The sequence below is a fragment of the Homo sapiens genome, chromosome 3 (genome assembly GCF_000001405.40).
Source record: "Homo sapiens chromosome 3, GRCh38.p14 Primary Assembly".
Lineage (NCBI taxonomy): Eukaryota > Metazoa > Chordata > Mammalia > Primates > Hominidae > Homo > Homo sapiens.
This window is the reverse complement of record NC_000003.12, coordinates 176,594,807-176,618,245: the sequence shown is the minus strand read 5'-3', so window position 1 is coordinate 176,618,245 and position 23,439 is coordinate 176,594,807. Positions and strand designations below refer to the sequence as shown.

General features: G+C 36.5%; 1 long non-coding RNA gene across 1 annotated transcript in view, besides 1 other annotated feature; it reads left to right on the top strand.

Annotated features, from left to right (window-relative positions):
* Nucleotides 1–14,098, top strand: part of LINC01208 (long intergenic non-protein coding RNA 1208) — a 31,385-nt gene extending 17,287 nt beyond the window's left edge. Inside the window, exon 3 of the long non-coding RNA NR_109968.1 lies at nt 13,560–14,098. This is a non-coding gene — a long non-coding RNA (long intergenic non-protein coding RNA 1208). The remainder of the gene's footprint in view (nt 1–13,559) is intronic.
* Nucleotides 22,470–22,971: an enhancer, noted in NCBI's record as "NANOG hESC enhancer chr3:176313063-176313564 (GRCh37/hg19 assembly coordinates)". NCBI's record gives its function as "activates a minimal SCP1, AML or CMV promoter by ChIP-STARR-seq in primed H9 embryonic stem cells {active_cell/tissue: H9 hESC(primed)}" and the evidence as "EXISTENCE:reporter gene assay evidence [ECO:0000049][PMID:30033119]".

Below are 23,439 nucleotides of genomic sequence, written 5' to 3'. Positions count from 1 at the left end.
AATCCAGAATGTATCAGTTAGTAAACTAGTAATTTTCCTTTTATGCCTAAATTAGAATTTGATTTCTATCTCTTGTAGCTAAAAGTCTTGATTAATGAAATTGTGGATGCAGAGATGTACAAAATAAGGTTTTAGTCCTTAAGTAATTCTGTTTGATTAGAATGGACTCATAAAACAATAGTTCCAATGTAATATGAAAAGCATTATTTTTGGTGTATGTATAGCAAAATGGAACCAGAGAGGAGAAAGAAACTTGGCTGGTGAAGGCTTCAGAGAATGATATTTGAGCTAGGTGTTAAATTATGTGTGGATAGTCATGAAAGCAAAATGAGAGAGAAGGGATAAGTAAGACCTAAGAAATAGTAGGTCAAAACATAGGAATCAGAAAATACATGGTGTATTGGGGAATTGCAAGAAGCTCTATATTTTCGCTGTTGTATGGACTGTGAACAGAAGTGGATGGTAGATGAAAGAGTAGTGGGTTGGGTTGCTTTTGGTACAATTTGAAAGATATGCACCTGTGGAAAAATCCCCTCCCAAAAGTAACAATAATACCAGGGGAATTTTTTGAAATCCTGTTAAAAATAGGATTTTAAAAAAGTTAAAATGTGAGTGTTAAAAACCTACTACCATTTCCCTGCCTTTTCTGTATGTACCAGCTGGTTTCCCAAATTTTCATACGCTGGCCCAGGTAATGGGTGAAGCAGGGGACTGGAAAAGGCAAAGAGGACAAATTATAAATGCTAAAGACATAATTGGGGGAGCAAAGATTACTTCTGGAGAAGTGAAACAATGGAAAAACGAAAAAGGGTGGGGGAAAGCCAATGAAAGTTGAGTTTTGAGGCTTTTAAATACATGAGCCTAGAACCTAAAAACCAGACATTGTGGGTAGCTATTGTATTGTGGGAGATGAAAAAGGATTGAGAGATTATATTTAAAACCATTGCTATGTGTTTTGAATGTAATGTTTCCCTTTGCCAGTGATATTAGTAAATGTTTTCTCAGTGATTTTCTTTCATTGTTATTGAATACATGTTTCTGTGGAACAGGACACTCATATTAAGGCTGTCCAATTTTTATCAGGTTATATAAAAACAAAGGACTTCTCTATGAATCTTCATTTTAGAAAAGGTCAACTGTACATTTCAAATCTTTAGTTTAATGAGGCTAATATATAGAAGAGTGTGATAGTTAATTTTATATGACTACTTGGCTAGGCCATAGTACGCACATATTTGGTCAAAACAAGTCTAGATGTTGCTGTGAAGTTATTTTTTAGACGAGATTAACTTTTAAATTAGTAGACATTGAGTAAAGTACTTACCTTCTGTAATATGGGTTGACCTCATCTAATAAGTTGAAGATTTTAAGACGGGGAAAAAAGACTCAATTTTTCTTTTTCCAGAGGAAAAGGATATTCTGCCTGCAGACTGCCTTCTGACTTGAGTTGAAACATCACCTCTTCCCTTATTCTTTAGCCTGCCAGCCCACTCTGCAGATTTCACTTTTAACCAGCCCCCACAATCACTAGAGCCAATTAAAGAATACACTTCTTCTTAAAGAAAAGTTTACTTGGCCAGGCACAATGGCTTACCCCTGTAATCCCAGAACATTGGGAGGCCAAGATGGAAGGACTGCTTGAGGCCAGGAGTTAAAGACCAGTCTGGTCAACAAAGCGAGATCCCCATCTCTATTAAAAAAAAAAAAAGAGAGAGAGAGAAATTTACTGGATGTTCCAGTATATAGAAAAACAGAAGATGCAAGCTACATAAACCTCTTTTTGACTTTGGGTACATTACTGGTAACATTGGTTCAATGAGCCTACATCAAACAAAAGGAAGATCCACAAGCCTTATTTTTAGAAATCTGAAAACAATAAATACTGGTACTAAGGTTATAACATATGATGATTCTTTTCCACTTTTACATGATTCTGTTGTCCTCTAACTGAAGAATTGTTTTCCAGAAATCTCAGACTCTACTTTTATTAATCCACACTTGCCTCCTGAGTGGCATCAGATATTGTATGTTGCTACTGTATTTGAAAATCATACTAGAATTTACTTCAGACTAAGCCCTGTTATGTAGTTGGAACTATATACACTTGGACATGCTATATGACAACACTGAAAATGGGTGTTATATATAAACTTCCCTCCATCTGGATATGTTTTAAATTCCACAGCAAATAGAAACATTTCCAAGACAGGAAGAATACTAATGAATAAACATTTCAGCCCTCCAGAGGTATAATTCATTTAGTCATTCATTCTAATACACTCATTCATTTAAAGTATGTATTCAGCATATGCTAGAAACCAGGCACTGACATAGGCACTAAGGATACACTAGTGAACAAGAGTTCCCTACCTTGTGAAGCAGGTAACAAGATATATCTGCTAATAAGATATATCCTCAACATACCAAACTCTTGTTAACATACCCCTAGACCAGGGGCATGTTAATGTACCAAAATTTTTCTGTGAAGGGTCAGATAATAAATATTTTAGGCCTTGTGGGCTATGTAGTTTCTATTGTAACCACTCTGATCTGCCACTGTAATGTGAGAGCAGCCATAGATAATGTGTAAACAAATGTGTCTACATGTCAATAAAAACTTTACTTACAAAAACAAGTAGTGGACCTAGACTGTAGATCATCTAATCTGGGTCTCTGACTTAATAACTTAGAGCAGAGACAAAAAGCTGCACGATACGAAAAGTTAACTTTAGAAGTCAATCCAGAAATCTTCATTTTGCAGATGAATTAAATGAGGTCCTGAGAGGTTGAGTGATTAGCTCCAGGTAACAAAGTAAACTAATGGCAGAACCAGAACTAGAACCTATAACTCCTGACTCTTAGTATAGTTTCTTTCTGTTTCACTAGATTGCCTCTCCTGTGCTGGAAGTCATAGGACTTAGTATAATGTTGTTGTCTATGTGAAAGAGAATATTTTTCTTTGGTTTCTTGGGTCCCAAATACTACTAGTTTTAAAAACACCTGTGCACTACCATCACTATCACCACTATCATCACTATCATCTCTACCATCATCACCAGCCTCACTATCATCACAACCACCACCACTACTAACATCACCAATATCATTATCACCACCATCATCATCACAAGAAACAACCAAAGACCACCACAAATACTCAGAGTCACAAAGCTGGGTTTATTTTTCTTGGTGCAGCAGGATCTGAGAGTTCATTTAAGTGTCATTGTGAAAGCACCTCAGTAAGGGGGTGTTGAGAGGAGCTTCTTATGGGGTTGGGTTTGTGCCAATGGTTCTAAGGATGGATTACAAAGCAGAAACTCATTCTGGATCGAATGCTATCAAGAAACAGAGACTTTGTTTTGAAGTCCTTGGGATTAAAAAAAAGAGAGAGAGAAAGAAACAGAGATGGGTGATGATTGAATTTCTTTATTTATTGTGTCTAGCTGGTGGGAGGATTATAGCAGGGGTAGAGTTGTGTTGATAAAGAAGTACCAATCACTCAGCTTAGCCAGAAGAGGGGCAAACTAGTCATTTTTGTGGCGGTGAGTGGCCATATTACTCTTTTGTTTCAAGCATCAGTTTTTTTACTTTCTTACTTGTATTTTCATACTTCAATAGCAATAAATAAAATCTAGTGTTTAAAAATTATAAAATTCAGATAGGAAAAAGAAGAAAATTAAAATCCTCCATCCATAGACAACAATAATTAACAACTTGGTACGTACCACTTTTCTATGTGTACATGCACATACATATATTTGCACAAGATATGAGATAACAGTATACATTCCAATTTAAACTACATTTTTACTTAATGTATAAAACAAACATGCTTCCATAAAAAGCATCATTTTTAATGAGTTCAAATATATTTCACTATGTGAGTCTGCCATAATTTATTTAACCACTTATTATTATATATTTAGAAGAAGGTTTCCAGTCTTTGCTATTATTAAAAACATAGGCATTTTTTTGTGCAAATTCCAAATACTTTCCTTGGGATAAATTCCTAGAATTAAGAATGTTAGATCACTGCATATATACATTTGAAGACTTTAAAAAAATCTTAGTAAATTTCCATCAGAAAATCTGTATAAATTTTTGCTCATGCATATAGTGTATGAGAATATTCCCAACCCTCCAAAAATAAAATATCCATTTTACTTAAAACTGACTCTAGCATAATGTCCTAAGAGCATAATTTTGTTCTTTTTACATAGAATTTATTCACATTTCGCATCAGTCCGATAAACTTCCATTGAGTACTAGTGTGGGCCAGTCACTGTGCTAGGTGCTGAATATAATCTGTGATTTTTCATAAAGTCAGTATCTTTACTTGTCACAGTCTAGATACATGACCATTAACCACTTTTATAGAAAAAGGTAAAAGGAAATGTAAATCTTGTTAGATGAGGTTTTATAGGAGGAGAATTCCATCTGTATTGTGGCACCAATAACAATCAATCCATTACAAATAATTTATCATCATCATCTTGGATGTGTGACATGAGTTAACATTTTCTCAAAATATTTTATTTAGTTCTGTACTTTAGGTAAGTTAATGTAACTTTTGTCTGTTTTTTGTCCAAATATTTATTGAACTCCTAAGAAAATATTAGTAATCACCATAAAATACATTACTGACTCATAGGCAAACTCCGAACTAGTTGTTCTGGACAAAAAAAAGTTGCTGGATATAAGTTCCATATCCTTGTTGTTCCACTGTTCAGTTAGGAATATTTGTCAAGTCTCTACCAAAAGAAATAACAACATAAGTATTAATATGTGAGGCTGCACTAGCTATCTTGAAAACAAAGCTTCATGTTGCAAGGAAAAATTAAAACTGGCAATTGAAATGTCTAAAATACACAATTGTAAAGTGAGATAATTTTTTTCTTTAGTTTTATTTTCTGCTGCACTTTCTTAAGATTAGGGAGGGGCTTCATTATTAACCAGATTCTTGCTTTCTATTAAAACTGGGCGAGCTTGGGCATATACACCGTCTTAAAATTCTATTGAATGTGTACACTTTTCATTTCCCTGTATCTTTTTTTCCCAATTCAGTGCATGTCAATAAACACTATTAGAGTTTTGTACTAACAGCTGTAGCTATTTTATAAATTAAAATAAATTCATAGAAGTTTATGCTTTCAAAAGATAATTTCATTTGACATTGATCTATCTTCAGAAGTGAAATATATCTGCTAATATCACACTTACGTTGTTTTCTCAATACTTTCTTTTGCTTTTTGAATTATTGTTGATTTCTTTCACATGAAAGTTATTTAAGCTGTAATGATCTGTTTTTAAAACAAATCATGATAATGACTGTAATTTGTATTCTTTACAAGCTACTTTAATTTTTAAAGTAGCACCGAATCATTCTACAAAAGTTTGGATTAAAAATAAAATATAAAATGCATTCAGCATATGAAATATTATTCCTTTGATATACTTTCATTGTATCCACATCATTCTAAAGTAATTTTATATATTTTATATTCATCAATTATAATAAAGATGAATTTTAATATGTGCAGAAAATCATAATCATACATAATATGTATGTCCTAGTCTTCTTTTTCATTATTATGATTTTCAAATTGCTACTTTATAACCTAAAGTGACAACTAAAATTATCATTGGCACCCTGAATTTTAAATATGCTAATAAATTAATTGAGTTGGCTTTGTTGCTTTTATGTAACTTTGCAAGTTTTGTGTGTTGAGAGTGATATAAGTTCAAAGATCTCAACGTGAATCATTACTGAGACAGTTATAAATATCATTAATTGTTTAATTTTGGTATTTATATTTTGTAAGTGAAATTAATTTGAAGTAACTGGTATACTTTGTTATTCTATTATTCATTTTGACTTAACAAATGCATATTGAACAGCTACTCTGCATAAAACATTGCATGAGGGGACAGTCCGTACTTCCCATACTTTCATAAAAGAACCATTTTTTTTGGCAAAATCTCTTTCTCTTTACTCTCTTTTCCTCTTTCTCTCTCACACACACATACACACACACAGAATTTATTCAGCAAAAGTAAAATATATATATATATAATCAGTTTTTAATGTTTACGATTTTTTATTCTTCAATTCACAGTAAACTTTTCTGGGGGGGGGTACAGTAGTATATATTTTGCTAGTAGGTAGAGTCCTGTGTTCACCACCACAATCAAGCTACTAAAGAGTTTCATCACACACACATACCAATTTCTCATGCTGCCCTTTTGTAATTGGCCCCTCCTCCACTTCAATCCCTGGGAACCACTGATCTGTTCTCTGCCTGACAGTTCTTGCCTTTTCCAGAATGTCATATAAATGAAGTCATCCAGTGTATAGTCTTTGAATGGGTTTTCTTGCACTTAGAGCATAATGCATTTGAGATCATTGACGTTGTCATACATATCAGTAGTTCCTTTTTATTGCTGAGCAATGTTGCACTGAATGTATGTGCAACTGTTTCACTAATTGGGGGACATTTTGGTTGTTTTCAGCTTTTAGCAATTATGAATAAAGCACTTGAAAACATTAGCTTACATACAGCTATTTTGGTAAATATAAGTTTTTATTTCTTGTGTATAAACAGGAGTGGGATTGCGGGTCATACGGTAAGTGTATATTTAATTTTAGAAGAAACAGCCAAACTGTTTTCCAAAGTGGCTGTGCCATTTTACATTCCTACCAGCAATGTGTGAGAGTTCCAGTTGCTCTGCCTCATTGCCAGACTTATGACTGTTAGTTCTATCGATTTCAGCTATTTAAATAGTTGTATGTTGTATTGCATTGTGGTTTTAATTTTTTCATTGTCCTAATGACTAATGACACTAAGGTTATTTTCCATTTGTATATTTTCTCTGGTGAAGCATTTTTTAAAAACCTTTGACCATTTTAAAAATTGGGAGATTTTTTAAAATGTTGAATTCTGAGAGTCATATACATATATATTCTGGATACAAGTCACTTGTCAGATATGTGATTTGAAAATAAATTACTTAAATATGCTTGCTGTTTTATTCTCTTAACACTATTAAGAGAATAAGCCTTATTTAACAATTTTTTATTTTGGGTCTCATGCTTTTGGTGTCATACCTAAAATCCCTTTGCCTAATCCAAGGTCTTAAAAAATTTCTCCTGTGTATTCTTGTAGATGTTTTTTAAAGGATGGCTTAATGTTCAAGTCATCCTAGACAGAACCTTGCTGATTCTGTTAGGTCTTTGGACACTGAACCTGATTGTCTAGGTTTCTATCTTGGTTTTGAGACAACCCAAGTGAAAGTGCTACGTAAATTCTAGAATGCCGTAGACTTTTACTTATGTTTCCTTACGTTTAACATTATGAAAACAGGAACTGCTATTTACTTATATGTGGATCACAACCTTGTGCATCATTTCCCAAGTTCCCTGCACCTCTGCTCTTTCTAGCTCAGTAAAATACACCATGGTGCTTATGAGTTCTGGATCTAAGTAGATCTGCCTTTTGATAAATCTGGCTCTGGGACCCACTAGCTGAGAGAATTTGGGAAGGCTATGTAGTTCAAGTTTCAGTTTCCTCTATGAAGTACAAGACTCAATCCTTCCCAGTGTTTTAGCAAATCTATTATTGTTAGTAATTGTTGTCATTTGTATTGAAATGCTGCCTTGCTCCTTCCATTCTCCTTCAGTTATTAAATCACACAACAGTCCAGGAGTTGAGGTTCTTTCCTTGTTGCCAGTCTTCCCTGTTGTTGGCCAGCATCCCAGATATCCCATTGCATGCACCCTCTACCTACAGAGACTTCACCCCACCCAGTTGCCTCTCTGATGATGATAATCACCAGTTGTGCCAAAAGACACCATGTGTCTCTAGACATTAAATTCCACCTGCCCAATCTGTCCCTCTCCACCACCTACTCTTCCCTGACATTCACTACAAGTTACAGCAAATGCTGATTCCCAGGTCCGAGCTCTTCGTAAGGTTGCCTGTACTCCACTCTCCAACTCAGAAACTCTCTCCAATAGATCTATTTTGCCTCTTCTCACTTTCAAAAAAACTTTGTCAACTCTTTTTTAAGTTCTTAATTAAAAGACAAAACTCATATCATAAATTCACCACTGGTTTCTCCTTGCATGGGATTGAAATATCTTACTTAAGTTTAGGAAGTTCATAACAGACTGTATAGGTAACTTCCTGCCCCTCTTGATTTAAAATGGCTGCTATGCATAAAACATTCCACTTCAGTGAAATGGGATTGAGGAAATTATGGGGTGGCAATAATTTGAACATGATGGGTATTGAAAAGTTTCATGTTCCAGAACTGTGGGTATGTCGAGGCAAAGCCTGACTATTTTAGCTATAAAACCAACTTCTGAACTGTACAGAGGTTTATTGTCTCGGGTCACATACGATTTCTTTTGTGAAAGGTTCTTTTATTTGTTTGGGAGTTGGAGATACTGCTTACGTTGCTCTGTAGTGTTTTGAACGCCATCATTTTTCCCCTTTGTAAATACAGGAGTTTTCTGTGTGTTTTGAAGTCTGTTTTCATCTTCTTTCATCTCTTCTCACTCTTGAAACTAAAGTAAGGATGTGAGAGATGTAACATCTCCACTCACTTCCCCACCCAGGAGCTGTGATTTTTCAGAGGAAGAGAGAGAAGTGCCTTTTGATTATTGTTCAGGGGCAATTGCGACATCTTCCTGGAAAGTTAAGCACAAGGGGAGATCAAATGCTCTAGTTTGAAGTCTAGTTGTATTCGCAGCTCACGTGAGAAAAATGTGAAATCAAGGAAAAAAACACCCGAATAAAAGTAAACTAAAATCCAAATGATAGTGAAGTTCGAGCAACATATTGTAGAAATGTGAAGAAATGACATGCTGTAAGCCAGTGGAAGATGGATACTAATAATTTATTATCAAGTGTATGGATATGTTAAAAAAAAAAAAAACAGCACCAGGTAGAATCTGCTTCTTAGGCTCTTGGACCACCATGCAGTTAGCTTCTGCCTGCTGTTCCACGGAAAGTCTCTCTGGAATCATCTACTACCTCATAGGTAGAGGCAGAATCAAAGCGGGTGCCAGCTGCCCATCTTAATGAATCAGTGCTGATGGGGTGCCAGGAAATAAATTTCTTATCCTGGGGATGGTTTAAAAAGTGAGATTTTTAAACAAAATTGTGCCTGAACCATTGAAGTCTTTGGTTAGCCCATCAGGGTTTTGGTTGTCCTTCTATTTGTTCTCCTAGGAAGGGCTGTTATCACTTTTCAACATCTTATGTTCTCTTTTATTAATGCTTTGGGCTCCTTTTGTGATTATGAAATGGTTTGAGCTGTGATTTTTATGATTCATGTCACTTTGGTGTTTATCAGGACTGCATGTTGCTGGGTACAGTTTATCAAAACTGCGTGTCTCAGGCTCGGGCCTGTACTTACAGCATTTTGAGGGGCTGAGGTGGGAGGATCACTTGAGCCCAGGAGTTAAAGTCCAGCCTGGGCAGCATGGCAAAACTCCATCACTACAAAAAATACAAAAGCTAGCCTGGTGTGATGGCATGCGCCCATGGTCCCAGCTACTAGGGAGGCCCAGGTGGGAGGATCACTTGGGCCCAGGAGGTCAAGGCGGCAGTGAGCCATGATAGCACCACTGCACTCCAGGCTGGGTGACAGAGCACGATCCTATTTCAAAGCAAAACAAAACAAGACAAAAAACAAAACAAAACAAAACAAAAACCCTGCATGTTGTGGTGGTAAATCTTGATGTCAGAATGAGCGGAGCACCTAGCTCCATCTTGGGAATTTTCCCATTGCCAGTGACCTGGAACTGTCTCTTACATGATGTCAACAGCCCTAAAGGAGGTAAGATACAGAGTGAGACCCACCACACCACTAGATAAACATCTTAAAACTGAGGTGAAGGTCACAGATGTTAGTTCCGGCATCTTGTAGTAATACCTTTACTCCCTAGGAGAGGTTGTCAGATACGAATGATTGGGGACACACTTAACAGTATGGATGGTGTGAGTAAACTTGTATTCCTGGAGCAAGATGACCCTACTTATTCTTGCACAATGATTAAAGAAGAGACTATATGCTGAAATGCATTAGATCTGCATATGCCTTATTCCTGGGCACAGCTGGACCCACAGTAGAGCAATGCTCTTGGGAAGGGGCTCTAACTCTCCTGTTATTATCCTTTGTACTAAGTGGAGAGAGCAAATAATATGCAGTATAGATCTGCATACCAACTACTCAAGGAGTCACAGACAGATATCTTGCAGCTGGCTACCTGCTATCATGGATATCAAATCCCTGGCGTGATAGAACCTGCACACCTTGTACGAAGCTGAAAATAATAGAAATCCCTCCCATTGGAGAATGAGGAGCCACTAATCTCAGGCAGCTTCTTGTCAGGCAATGTGGAGGTAGCCTCCAATATTATACAACAGAAACTCCTATTTACCTCTCCAAAATAATACATGAAAAAGAGAATAATACATTGTGAGGACATATGTTAATTTTTGCATTTATAGCAAGGGAAGGAGGATAGAATATGGGTATATAGTCAGAAACAGACGAGGTTATGGGTGTGGTGGAGGAATTGAGGTAATTCCACACAACAGGTTTTGTTTTGTTTTGTTTTGTTTTGTTTTTGAGACGGAGTCTCACTCTGTCGCCCAGGCTAGAGTGCAGTGGCACTATCTTGGATCACTGCAAGCTCTGCCTCCCGGGTTCACACCATTCTCCTGCCTCAGCCTCCCAAGTAGCTGGGACCACAGGCGCCCGCCACCATGCCCGGCTAATTTTTTGTATTTTTAGTAGAGACAGGGTTTCACCGTGTTAGCCAGGACGGTCTCGATCTCCTGACCTCGTGATCCGCCCGTCTCGGCCTCCCAAAGTGCTGGGATTACAGGCATGAGCCACCGCGCCCCGCAGCAGGTTTCTATTTTCTTTGTAAACAGCAGGTTAGGTCTTTTGTTGAGAATGAAGTGAGCAGCATCTGGTTCAGAGGTTTGAGGAAGGTGGAGAAGTATAAAAATAGTCACTGTGGACAATAGGAAAGAGATTTGCCTGGAGAAGAACTGCAGGATTTCTGGACAGTTAGAGTTGGAGGCCATGAATTTTTAATGGTATCAATCTCAGTGGTTGTGTGATTTTTCTCTAGCAGTGATGAATCAGCAGTCCAGGTATAAATATGAAGAAGGCAGACTTTGGGATGAAGCAGGGTTGAAAATTTATCTTATGGCATTGTGTCAGGGTGGTTACATTTAATATTACCATTTTTTGCCATTACTTTTAATGGCAAAAACCACTATTATTTTTGCACTAACCTAATATATTGGGTAGAGAAAAATTGTGATGATGTAAGTATTTAGGACATGGCCATAAGTTTGAAGTGGAATGGGAATAAAGATAATGAAATGAGGCAATGGAAAAGCTAAGAGTCTTAGAAGTGTGGCTTAGACCCCAAAAGCAGACCAAAATACCAAGGAAACAGTGAAACATTTCTTGCTGAAGAAAGAATCAATTACGTGTAAAATTAAGGACATATGAAGTAACTTCATGGCAATAACTATTTCATGGTTATTTTTGCGGTTTCCTCCTTTTACTTGTACCCCACAGGGACCTCTTATTTTCTCCAGCTGGAACTGTGTCAGAGCTAGATGGGAGTCTGCAGTTGTTCACTGAGGAGCCATAATGGTTACAAATACTCAACCATCATACAGGTCGATGGTTTCTCAACTCACACGGATGAGTGAAAAAGTAACGAGAAGCTGAGAGAAGAAAAGTTGGGCTTCCAATGACAGGAGAGAGTGAAATGAAGAAATGAAAGTTCTTGCAAGAGAGACATAGCCTTTAGTGAGGCCAATACAGCACATGGTCAGGCCATAGACCAAAGTCAATTGCTTAGCTCACCTGTGCTTATGTCTCGGCCCAGGCCCGTCCCACCTGCAGATCCATCCCACAAAGTTTTCCACCTGAATGTGAAGTACATTCACTGATTTATCTAACTCACATCCTCGTACATCTCTGTATGTTAGAACAGAAGGTGGAACACTTAGAAAGATAGTGGGATAAGAAAGCCCTGCTCTTGATCAGGATTGAATTATATAAAATTAGTTTTAAATCTGCTTCTGAGTTGTGGAACAGAAACTCACAAGACTCCTGCAATCAGAATTATTATTATTATTATTATTATTATTTATTATACTTTAAGTTCTGGGATACATGTGCAGAACATGCAGGTTTGTTACATAGGTATACACGTGCCACGGTGGTTTGCTGCACCATCAAGTATCTACATTACGTATTTCTCCTAATGCAATCCCTCCCCTAGCTCCCAACCCACCGACAGGCCCCAGTATATGATGTTCCCCTCCCTGTGTCCCTGTGTTCTCATTGTTCGGATCCCACTTATGAATGAGAACATGCAGTGTTTTGTTTTCTGTTCCTGTGTTAGTTTGCTGAGAATGATGGTTTCCAGCTTTATCCATGTCCCTGCAAAGAACATGAACACATCCTTTTTTATGGCTGCATAGTATTCCATGGTGTAATAGTGCCATATTTTCTTTATCCAGTTTATGATTGTTTGGCATTTGGATTGATTCCAGGTATTTGCTATTGTGAACAGTGCTGCAATAAACATATGTGTGCATGTGTCTTTATAGTAGAATGATTTATAATCCTTTGGGTATATACCCAGTAATGGGATTGCTGGGTCAAATGGTATTTCTGGTTCTAGATCCTTGAGGAATCGCCACACTGTCTTCCACAATGGTTGAACTAATTTACATTCCCACCAACAGTGTAAACGCCTTCCTATTTCTCCCCATTTTCTCCAGCATCTGTTGTTTCCTGACTTTTTAATGATTGCCATTCTAACTGGCATGAGATGGTATCTCATTGTGGTTTTGATTTGCGTTTCTCTAATGACCAGTGATGATGAGCTTTTATATATATATATATATATATATATGTTTGTCGGCTGCATAAATATCTTCCTTTATCAGAATTATTTTTAAAGGTAGTTTTGAAAAAGAGAATTTGGGACTATACTACAGAAAGTCTTAAATTTCAAGATAAGGAATTTAGACCTTATTCTAAGATTCTAAACTAAAGCTCTCCCTTTTGGGGACAGAAAGATAACATGGTGGAAGTAGCACTTTTAGAAGATTCATGAGATGCTGGTGGATGGATGAAGTGTGTGTTTGTTTCACCTTACATCAATGGGAAATTTATCTTTTGTTCACTATCAACAGATCTTGTTGTTTCTTCCTAAATAATGTCTTTAAATAGATTTCCCTTTTCTTCTATTATGCTCTCAATTTCATATACAGCCACTATCATTTTACGTTTTTTTCTCTTCATTTGCTCTCAGACATCCGACTTTCCTCCATTAGCTTGAAATTGCCAGTTATTTTTGTCTTTTTAGTAACTTCTGTGGAAGAAGATCACCCATTGAACTAATCAAAACCCTCTCAGTGGTCTCATTTTAATTAAATAAAAATCTCCAATCATGAGTTCAAGGTACTTCTATCCATTCCTTTTCTAATTTAATTTCCTTTATTTCTTAGGATTGCCTCCTTTACTGTATGTTTTCCACTGAGATGAAGATTTTGGTCATTTCCTCATTCATGTTCCTGCTTTTCAAAACCCAAGCAAGAAAGGAAACTTCTACAGTGACTTTCTCATTATGAAATCTTAGCATTCACTAGTCGGCCATAATGGAAAACCAGCCAAATGGACACATATACACTGGTCTGTACCCGCAGAGAAAGAAATGCAAATCTCTGTGATCAGAAAACTATCCTATCTTGTACATTGTTAAAAGTCTGCCTCCAAAAAGTTTACTTCTGGAATACTGTAATTGAATAGAATCAGGGATCCTACCTGTGTCCTTCAACTTTCACATCTTGTCTACTCAAGTAAGGGTTGAATTTGCATGACTATATCTAAGGTTCGAGGGCTTACCTGTTGGCAGTAGACCCAGTAGTCTATGAATGGAAATGGGCAAACCTGTGACCTCCCAAAACTTTAATATGAAAGTTTTGTTTGTGTATACTCATGGCATTATTCTTTTAATAAAGAGATAATCTATATAGTTTTCTTTTTTAAAAGATACTTTTATTTCTTTATTGTTGGGAACTGACACAGCTAATTTCTTTCTGAAGAGGTTCTTTGGTTGAGAATGGTAGCAACTAGTTTGATGTGGCTGGTGAGAGTCAGCAGTCCCCCACAATCTTACTTTCAGGTTTTAATGAAAGAAATCTCCGACAAAATTTTTACACACATAAAGACATTTACTAAACAACCAAACATTAGTAAGCAGGCAGAAAATAGCTTCTATAACTGGGTCTGTCAGCTTGAAGAAGGCACGGCTCTTTGTTCTTTTAAATTCTTCAACCTCCATACTAGATGAAAGGGTCACTCAGGATAACACGACAGGATCTCTGGAAGCTGGCTTTTGATATTCTAATAGTCACATTGATTTGCAAAGGTTGGGCATAGGTCTGCTTATTGGGCAAACTTTGATATCTTTCCTAGGAATTCAGAAGACACACCACTGTCTTCTATTTTGCTCATGCGAGGGATTGGAGGGAGGATGGGTCTCATAGTATTTTACCCAATAAACATTTATTGAATATATTTAATTTTACCAATACAAGCCCAATTCTAACATTTTCCATGTTAATTAAACCAATAATTTTACCAGTAAAATCATTTTTCTGACATTTTCTATGTTTAGGTGATAATCAAGATGTGGAAAACAGAAGCACTTGGAATGGTCACTTCTGATTTGTGGATTTATGATAAGACTTTATAGAACCTTCACTGGAATATGAATTTATTATTAGGGAAACTGTCAGTCCCTACAGTGGGATCATAAACTAACTTGTATGTACATAATATTATACTGCCTCTACTTAAGTATTTTATTTATTTTTATTTTTAAAATAAAAAACAGAAATGTATTTCTCCACACTTCTGGAGACTGGTAAGCCTAACATCAGGATGCCAGCAGACTCTGGGTTAGTGTATGGTGAAGGCTGCTCTCTTCTTCCAAGATGTCCTCTTCTCACTACAGCCTTACATGGCAGAAGGGCAAAAAGAGACTAATGCTGTATCCTCACATGCAGAGAGATGGAAGGGCCAGGCAGCTCTTGGAAACCCCTTTTATAAAATCATTAATCCCATTCACAAGGGTGGAGCCCTCATGACTTAATCACTTCCCAAACATGATTTAAAAATTTTTCATTTTTTCATTATTATGGGTACATAATTGTTATATATATTTATGGGGCACATGTGATGTTTTGATACAGAGCACAACGTATAATAATTATATCAGGGTAACTGGGTATCCATCACCTCAAGAATTTATCATTTCTTTGTGTTAGAAACATTCCAGTCCACTCTTTCAATATTTTAAAATATACAATAAATTACTGTTGACCGTAGTCACCCTGATGCGCTATCAAATACTAGACCTTATTCATTCTATCTAATTATACTTTTGTACCTATTAACCATCCTCACTTTTTCCCCTCCACCTTGATCCCCTTCCCCTTCCCAGCCTCTAGTAGCCAATATTCTACTCTCTGTCTCCATGAAATCAGTTGTTTTTCATTACCCCAATATGATCTCTGCTGGGATCAATAGTTAATCCCTGTTCTCATCCCCAGCCCTTGATGACCATTAGTCTACTTGTATTGGGTACTTTCACTGCACCCAATTTGTAGACTTTTATCCCTCACCCCCCGCTTCCCACCCTTTCCCCCAAGTCTCTGTAGATTTGACTATCTTGCTTTTTAAAAATAATATGCAATGGAAATCCCTCCAACTCAAATAAGTAGTCTCTAATTCTTTGCTTTGAATGTCTGTACATTTTTCCAGGGCGTAGATACATAGTATTTTATTCAGTTATTTTGCTAATCAGTAAATGTGAGCATGTTTGCCTTGTTTTAAGACCTTGAATATCTTCTCTGTGCATGCTCATTCATATGCTTTGCCATTTTTTTCTGTTGGGATATTTTCTTCTCTATGTCAATTTATAATGGCTCATATATCATTGATATGAGCCTTTTGTCTATTTGTTGTATTACAATTTTTTCTAGGTCTATTAATTTTTAATTGTATTATGCTGAGAATGTGGCTGTAAAATCTTTACTTAAAAAAAATCACTAGGATTGTCTTTGTGACCAAGATGACTAATTTTTATAAATATTACAGGGACACACATTTACTGAAATCCTCTTGTTTATTTTGAGGCATGTATAGTTCTTAATATATGTTAGCTCACATTTAATGAATTCTATTATTCAATTTTTATCTGACTCAAACCTACTACATCTGTCCATTTCTGACAGAAACATATTGAAGACTCTCACGGTAATTAACTTTTTATTCTTTGCTATCCTGGCACCTTAAAAAGGTTTGATTTTGTGAGCTACCAGCTATATTGGTTGTTATATACATGTTTATGACAACTACACAGCCACTTTTTTCACTATCTTGTACTAACTGATTCATAATTATATAATATCCATTTTATCTGACTAGTATATTTAATGTTATATCCCATTCTGGTTGATACTGTATACCCCTCCCCAGTTCATCCCACTTTCTGTTTGGTTTTCTTTACATGATACCTCTTTGCTTATACTTCATTAAGCTTTTAAAAAATTACTTATTTTGAAACAGCCTATAGCTGGTCTTCCCCCCGACTCCTTGACTACTACTACTCTTTTAAAATTTATTTTGTCTCACTTTCTCTTCATTACTTAGATTCTGTTTAAATTTCTTTCTTTTTTTTTTTAAATTTCCATAGGTTTCTGGGGAATAGGTGGTGTTTAGTCATGTAAATTCTTTAGTGGTGATTTGTGAGATTTTGGTGAACCCATCATCTGAGCAGTATACACTGTACCCAATTTGTAGTCTTTTATCCCTCCCTTTCCCCCAAGTCCCTAAAATCCATTGTATCATTATTATGTCTTTGCTTCCTCATAGTTTAGCTCCCACTTATGAGTGAGAACATACGATGTTCGGATTTCCATTCTTGAGTTACTTCACTTAGAATAATGATCTCCAGTTCCATTCACGTTGCTATAAATGCCATTATTTCATTCCTTTTTATGGCTGAAGAGTATTCCATGGTGATATCTATGTATCGATCTCAAAAATTCTGTTTTTATTTCTATATTTTATTTTTCTTTATTGTTTCTGCTTTGGTCAAGTTTCTGTTCCGTCTGCTAGCCCTCCGCTTTATTAATTTGAAAGTATTTTTTAAAATCCTATTTATTGTTACACTTGGATTACATTTACTACTCTTTTACCTAATTTCTTTATTTTTGGTAAGATCATTTAGTAACAATACTAGGAATAACTAACATTTATTGATTTTTTTTTCTTGATTAGGAAATTTTCTAAAGTGTTTTCCTCAGAGGTAGTACGTAGGTGATATATTCTCTGATGTCTTGTACTTCCTAAAATATTTTTCTTTCACCTCAACCTGTAATTAATTTATCATTTGCATGTAGGATTCTTGGACTATAATCATTTTTTTTTCAGTGGTTCTGTGAATGCTATTCCACTGGCTATTATTCACTCTGGATTGAAGGTGAGATGTCTGGTACTAGTATGAATTTGATTGGATAATTTATTACATTTACATTGATAGGTAAAGACTTACTACTGCCATTTTATTGCTTCTGGAGTTTCCTCAAAATTACTATTTTGAATTCTTGATCTGAAAAATCTCACATTACTATCTCTTTAGGTTTGGTTACTGGGTCATTGTTTTTTCCATTTGTGAATGTCATGGTTCCCTGTTTTCTCTCTCTCTCTCTCTCTTTTTTTTAATAAACATATGTCATGTCTTCACATGGAAGTGTTAGTTATTCCAGTCTTTGTTGTCTGGCTTGGCTTGGTCTTTTACAAGTATACCTGTCTAAAGGTTTTATGCAGATTGACTATTGGGTTCCTTTAGTTCAAGACTGCTGCCTCCTTTTAGGCACTTGATAGGACACTAAGTCCAGGTTTACTGTGGCCCTCACAAAAGTTTGGAGCACTGCCCATCCCCGATGGGGTACTCTGGCTGTGTGAGAAGACTGGCTAGGGGTTTGTGTCCAGAGGACCTATGGAGCATGCCTCTTACAGCGTGGTGCTGCTGAACAGCATCTCTGATTTGGCATCTCCTTTGGCTGACATGAAGAGCAGCCACTGAGTTTCTCATGCCGGGGGTTACTAGCCCCACCTCCACTCTTTATTTCCAGCTGCCCTCAGAATTATTCACCCTACAGGCACTCTTGATGCTTTCCATAGATTGAAGCAGGAACAGTTTTCCTGTGAAGGAACTCAAGGTCATGGGGAAGCTGGATGTCTGCCTCAAGCTCACTTTTTCCAGTGAGTCCAGGAGGACTTTTCCATGAAGTGCCTGGAAGTTTGGGCGAGAGGCGAGAGGTGTTATGGCTAGACAGTTCCATTTATCTTACTTTCTGCTCATAGTTTTTCACTTCTCTGTGGCCCCTGGGATTATCACAGACTCAGTTTTGAGTCCTGGAATATTGCTGGTGATAATTTTGGCACTGGGTAGTTGGTGGTGGTTTTCTGTGGAGGAGAGTGAAGCCAGATTGCTTCTACTCCTCTATTTTCTAGTCATCCTCAGTTTGGCTTTAATTTCCCTTTATTAGCTAAGTGATTCTTTCAGCTGGAAAGTCTGTGAAATTTTTAAAAAATGTATCTTCCAAGTTCATGAAGTTACCAAGGCATGCTTAGTTGCACGTCTTTTCTCATCAATCCAGCCCTTAGTGAGTCCCTTGAATTTTTAGACTCAGGTCTCTTCCTTTCCTTGGGAAATTTTCCTTCTAATATTAGTTTATTTTCTTTTCTTCCATCTGCTCCTGTTTTTCCTCTGGAGCTAACAAAATATTCTTATGTTAGTTCTTCTGCATTTACTTTTTAATTGTCTTATTTTATTTTTACCTGGTGATTTTCATCTCCTTAATTTGCTCTGTATTTTAAGACAATGTGAGAGTTCTCACACTTAACCTTCCAAATCACTAATTTGGGCCTCAATAGTGCTTTATCCTTCAACTCATCTGTTGAATTTTTTAAATTTGGAAATTGTAACTTTTAGCTCCAGGAGGTCTTCACGTTTCACTTGAAAAATTCTCAAGTGAATATATTTTCATTCAGATCCTAAGTTATCTCCTCTAGCAGTTCTATATCACAGGATATGTATTCTGATTATTTTTCTGGATCAACTCTAGCTTTTCAGCCCCTTTAGCTTAGTTGACATTTTTTCTTGGACTTGCTGGGCTGAGGTTTGTCATATACAGTATTGTAAACAGCAAGAACCTTACTTGAGTGTCTGAATTACTGGTGCATAATTGTGTAGGTTTTCAGGCCCTGTTAAGTTGCAGATAGTTATTCCCTGATCTCTGCTTTTACTGCTCTTTCCTCATTTCAGGGTTAGCCTTTCCATCTCCTGGTCTTCTGTAGTCAGAGAAACCTACCATACTTCTTGGAGGCATCTGATCTCTGAGAAGCAGTTTAATCCCAGGATCACAACCTTTTGTCTTTGGTTCTAAGCTCTGAAGCTATTTTTCAGGTGCTTTTCTAAGTACAGGGAATAAAGTTTCTTATTAATTATTTCTGCTATGGTGATAAAGGAGTTGAGATCTTATTTGAGCCAAGCTATGTTTAAGTCTCTACAGGCCAGAGACACAGGTAGACATGATTTCAGACTGGGTCTGAAGAGATGTAAATATAGCATCATTATTTATGGAACATAAACCAATTGTTCCATGTGCTCTAAAAATACATCTCTAAATGATGTAGAATTGGGAAGAGACGGAAAGGAGCCACTGTCATGATGGCCTGCATTCCTTATCCCTTGTCTATTTGGATCGAAATGGACTACAACTGTTTCTCTGGATAATAACAACATATGTGCTAAAGTCATGTGTTCTCCATGTCTTTAATGCATTTGTCTGGGAATGACTTTGTATATGGATGACAATGCCTATTAAGATTCATAGGACTGTCCATCTAATCTACCAGACAGTGGGCTGTAGTTTCCTCCTACTACAACAAACTTTTTTTTCCCCTGTAGGGCAAAATATTATAAATCCAGCTTATTATACGGGCTCTGGCAGATACTTATCCCTTTTTAGGAAAAAAAAAAAAAAGTACATAACAAACCCTCTGTAAGTCTTTGATCTTTAAAAGTGTCTTTATCCTAAATGGCTGAGCAGTATGAAAAATTGATTTTTTAAAAAGCCTTTTCTATCTGCTAAAACATCTGATTGTTAGAAAGAGACATTTAAAAAAAAATAATAACTTCAGAAATCCTGACTGGGTCTTAAATCCCCTCACTACAGAATTTGAAAGAACGTTAAAGATCCTTAGTCCAATTTCTCATTAATGCCAAGTGGTTAGTTGGTTTCTACCTGAATTCCCTGGAGAGGCTAATTTAATACCCCATGGGTAGTCAATCCATTTATTGGAAAACTCTGACTGTTAGAAAGGTCTTGATAGATTGAAGTTGAATCTATCTCTTTGCAAACTATAACCATCGATTCCAGTTCTACCTTTGGAACATCTATTTTGCAGAAGAACATTATTCTTATAAAAGCAAGATTTTATCATCTAAAGAAAAGCACATGTACTTGCAGAGTTTTCTAAGAAAGTATATGTGCTTACATGCTATTATTGTTTGGAAGCTTAAATGCTATTTTGACCTTTCATGTAATTTTAATTTTGAATATTCTGAACTAACTGGGCAAGATAGGCATATACAATTGACCCTTGAATAAACCAGGTTGAAAATCCACATATAACTTACGATTTCCCAAAAACTTACCCTCTAAGACATACTGTTGACTGAAAGCCTTACCAGTAACATAAACAGTTGACTAACACGTATTTTTATATGTGTTATATACTGTATTCTTACAGTAAAGTAAGCTAGAGAAAAGAAAATGTTATTGAGAAAATTATAAGAGAAAATATATTTACTATTATTAAGTGAAAATGGTTTATCATAAAGACCTTCATCTTCGTTGTCCTCACACTGAGTAGACTAAGAAGAGAAGGAAGAGGCAGGGTTGGTCTTGCTGTCTTAGGGGTGACAGAGGTGGAAGAAAATCCATGTATAACTGCATCTGTGCAATTCAAAACTGTGTTGTTCAATTGTCAACTGAATATTGATCTAACCTTATGAAATTTAATTATAAAACTTAGGATTTTAGCACTGGAAGTAACTTTACATATATACAACCTAGCACATTAAACATTTTTTTTTTTTTTTTTTTTGAGACGGAGTCTTGCTCTGTCACCCAGGCTGGAGTGCAGTGGCTGATCTTCGCTCACTGCAAGCTCTGCCTCCCAGGTTCATGCCATTCTCCTGCCTCAGCCTCCTGAGTAGCTGGGTACAGGCGCCCACCACCATGCCTGGCTAATTTTTTGTATTTTAGTAAGAGACGGGGTTTCACCGTGTTAGCCAGGACGGTCTCGATCTCCTGACGTCATGATCCACCTGCCTCAGCCTTCCAAAGTGCTGGGATTACAGGCACAAGCCACCGCATCCGGCCAACTTTTTTTTTTTTTTTTAAACCTAGGGGGATACTGAAGTCCAAATAAATCAAGTTTCTTTAAAAAGTCAGTGCCATTCCTGCCTAAAATTCAGACCTCCTCACCTCTCATGTAACAGTTTTAAAACCTACTACAATAACTAGAGATTAAAGAAGGATTCAATGGATGCTAAAAGGTAGATAACAAAGAGTATTGAAATGATTTATAAGTGTCAGAGACTAACATAGACAGATTTGAGATACAGAAAAACAATAAATATCTTTTTTTTTTTTTGAGATGGAGTTTCACTCTTGTTGCCCAGGCTGGAGTGTAATGGCACGATTTCAGCTCACCACAACCTCTGCCTCCTGGGTTCAAGTGATTCCCTTGCCTCAGCCTCCTGAGTAGCTGGGATTACAGGCATGCACCACCACATCTGGCTGATTTTTTTGTATTTTTAGTAGAGATGGGGTTTCTCCACGTTGGTCAGGCTAGCCTTGAACTCCCGACCTCAGGTGATCCACCTGCCTCGGCTTCCCAAAGTGTTGGGATTACAGGCATGAGCCACCGCACCCGGCCTAAGAAACAATAAATATCATTATGGAAGACAAACTAGTTACTGCCGTGTACTATAGCACTTTAAAAATAAGTCCATTAATAATAAACCCTGTCTCTAAGAAACCTGCAAACTTCTTATAGAGATAAAACCTAAGTAATTACCTAGTATTCAGTGCTGTCCAAATCTAGCCCAATATGAAAACTAATAAAGAAAATAATCTTGTAAAATTCACCATCTGTTGAAAACTAATAATAGTGTTAAAATTACTGAGCTGCTGAGTTATTAATTTTTTCACAAGAAAGAAAATCTAATGCTAAAAGTTAAAAATAACATAAAAATTCTGTTACTAAAGGATAGGTAAGATAAAGTTTTTAATGTAAATATATCTTAATTAATGATTCCAGATGGCATGTGACCGTGTCATTAAAGGAATTTACCTGTTGAATTATTTATGGGTAAAAAAGCCAGGAAGGATGAGAAAAGACTCCAAAGGAGACTGGAGAGTATAAGGAAAGATAAAACTCTTCTTCTTTTGCTTGTTGAAGTGCTAAAGGAAGATGACTCAGAATCAGTGTTCCTTGGTGGAGATGTTATTCTTTTTAAGATGCTTAAGAGATCACTTTCCTGCTGAGTGGTTGGATATGCATGCAAGGGAACCCTCAGCACTTCAACACCATTGTGCTTTATGAGGAACTGAGAAGTATTTCTCATCTACCTGCCACACATGGTGGCATGCAGTAATACAGATGCAAGACTATTAAAATGGAAACACAGCAGACTTTGACTAAAACAATTCTTTATTTTTATTATTTAAGACATTGTTGCAGGATGCAACCATCTCTGAATTACTATTCCTTGGGGGCTGGACCCATGTTTTGTCTTTGTGTTGTATACTACAACATTGAGATGAAACCATAGTTTATTTTCCCTCTCCGACTTTCCTTAAAGCTTTTGAAGAAACTCTGGCCTGGCAGTTCAGCTTTTATTGAACAAAACTAAGAGAAATCAAAATGAACAAAATACATGTGTGTGGTATCACCCCACATGGTACATAAACAACCTCCCTCCCTTAGTGAATGTAATATTTTAACTATCAAGAGGTAACCAATTCCAAGACTATTTCTCAGTTATACTAGTGGGTATAAAAATACCATGTGATTTCATTTCATCAATACACTGGGCAAAGAAGAATTATTGTTTCTTCTACTTTGTGGCTCTGGTGAGTCCTCAGGAAGTGTAGTTGAAAAATCGATTTTCCAGACTGAAGTCTTTGCTGGTCACAGTTCAGGGATTAGAGAAATCCAATTTGAGGAAAATGTTGG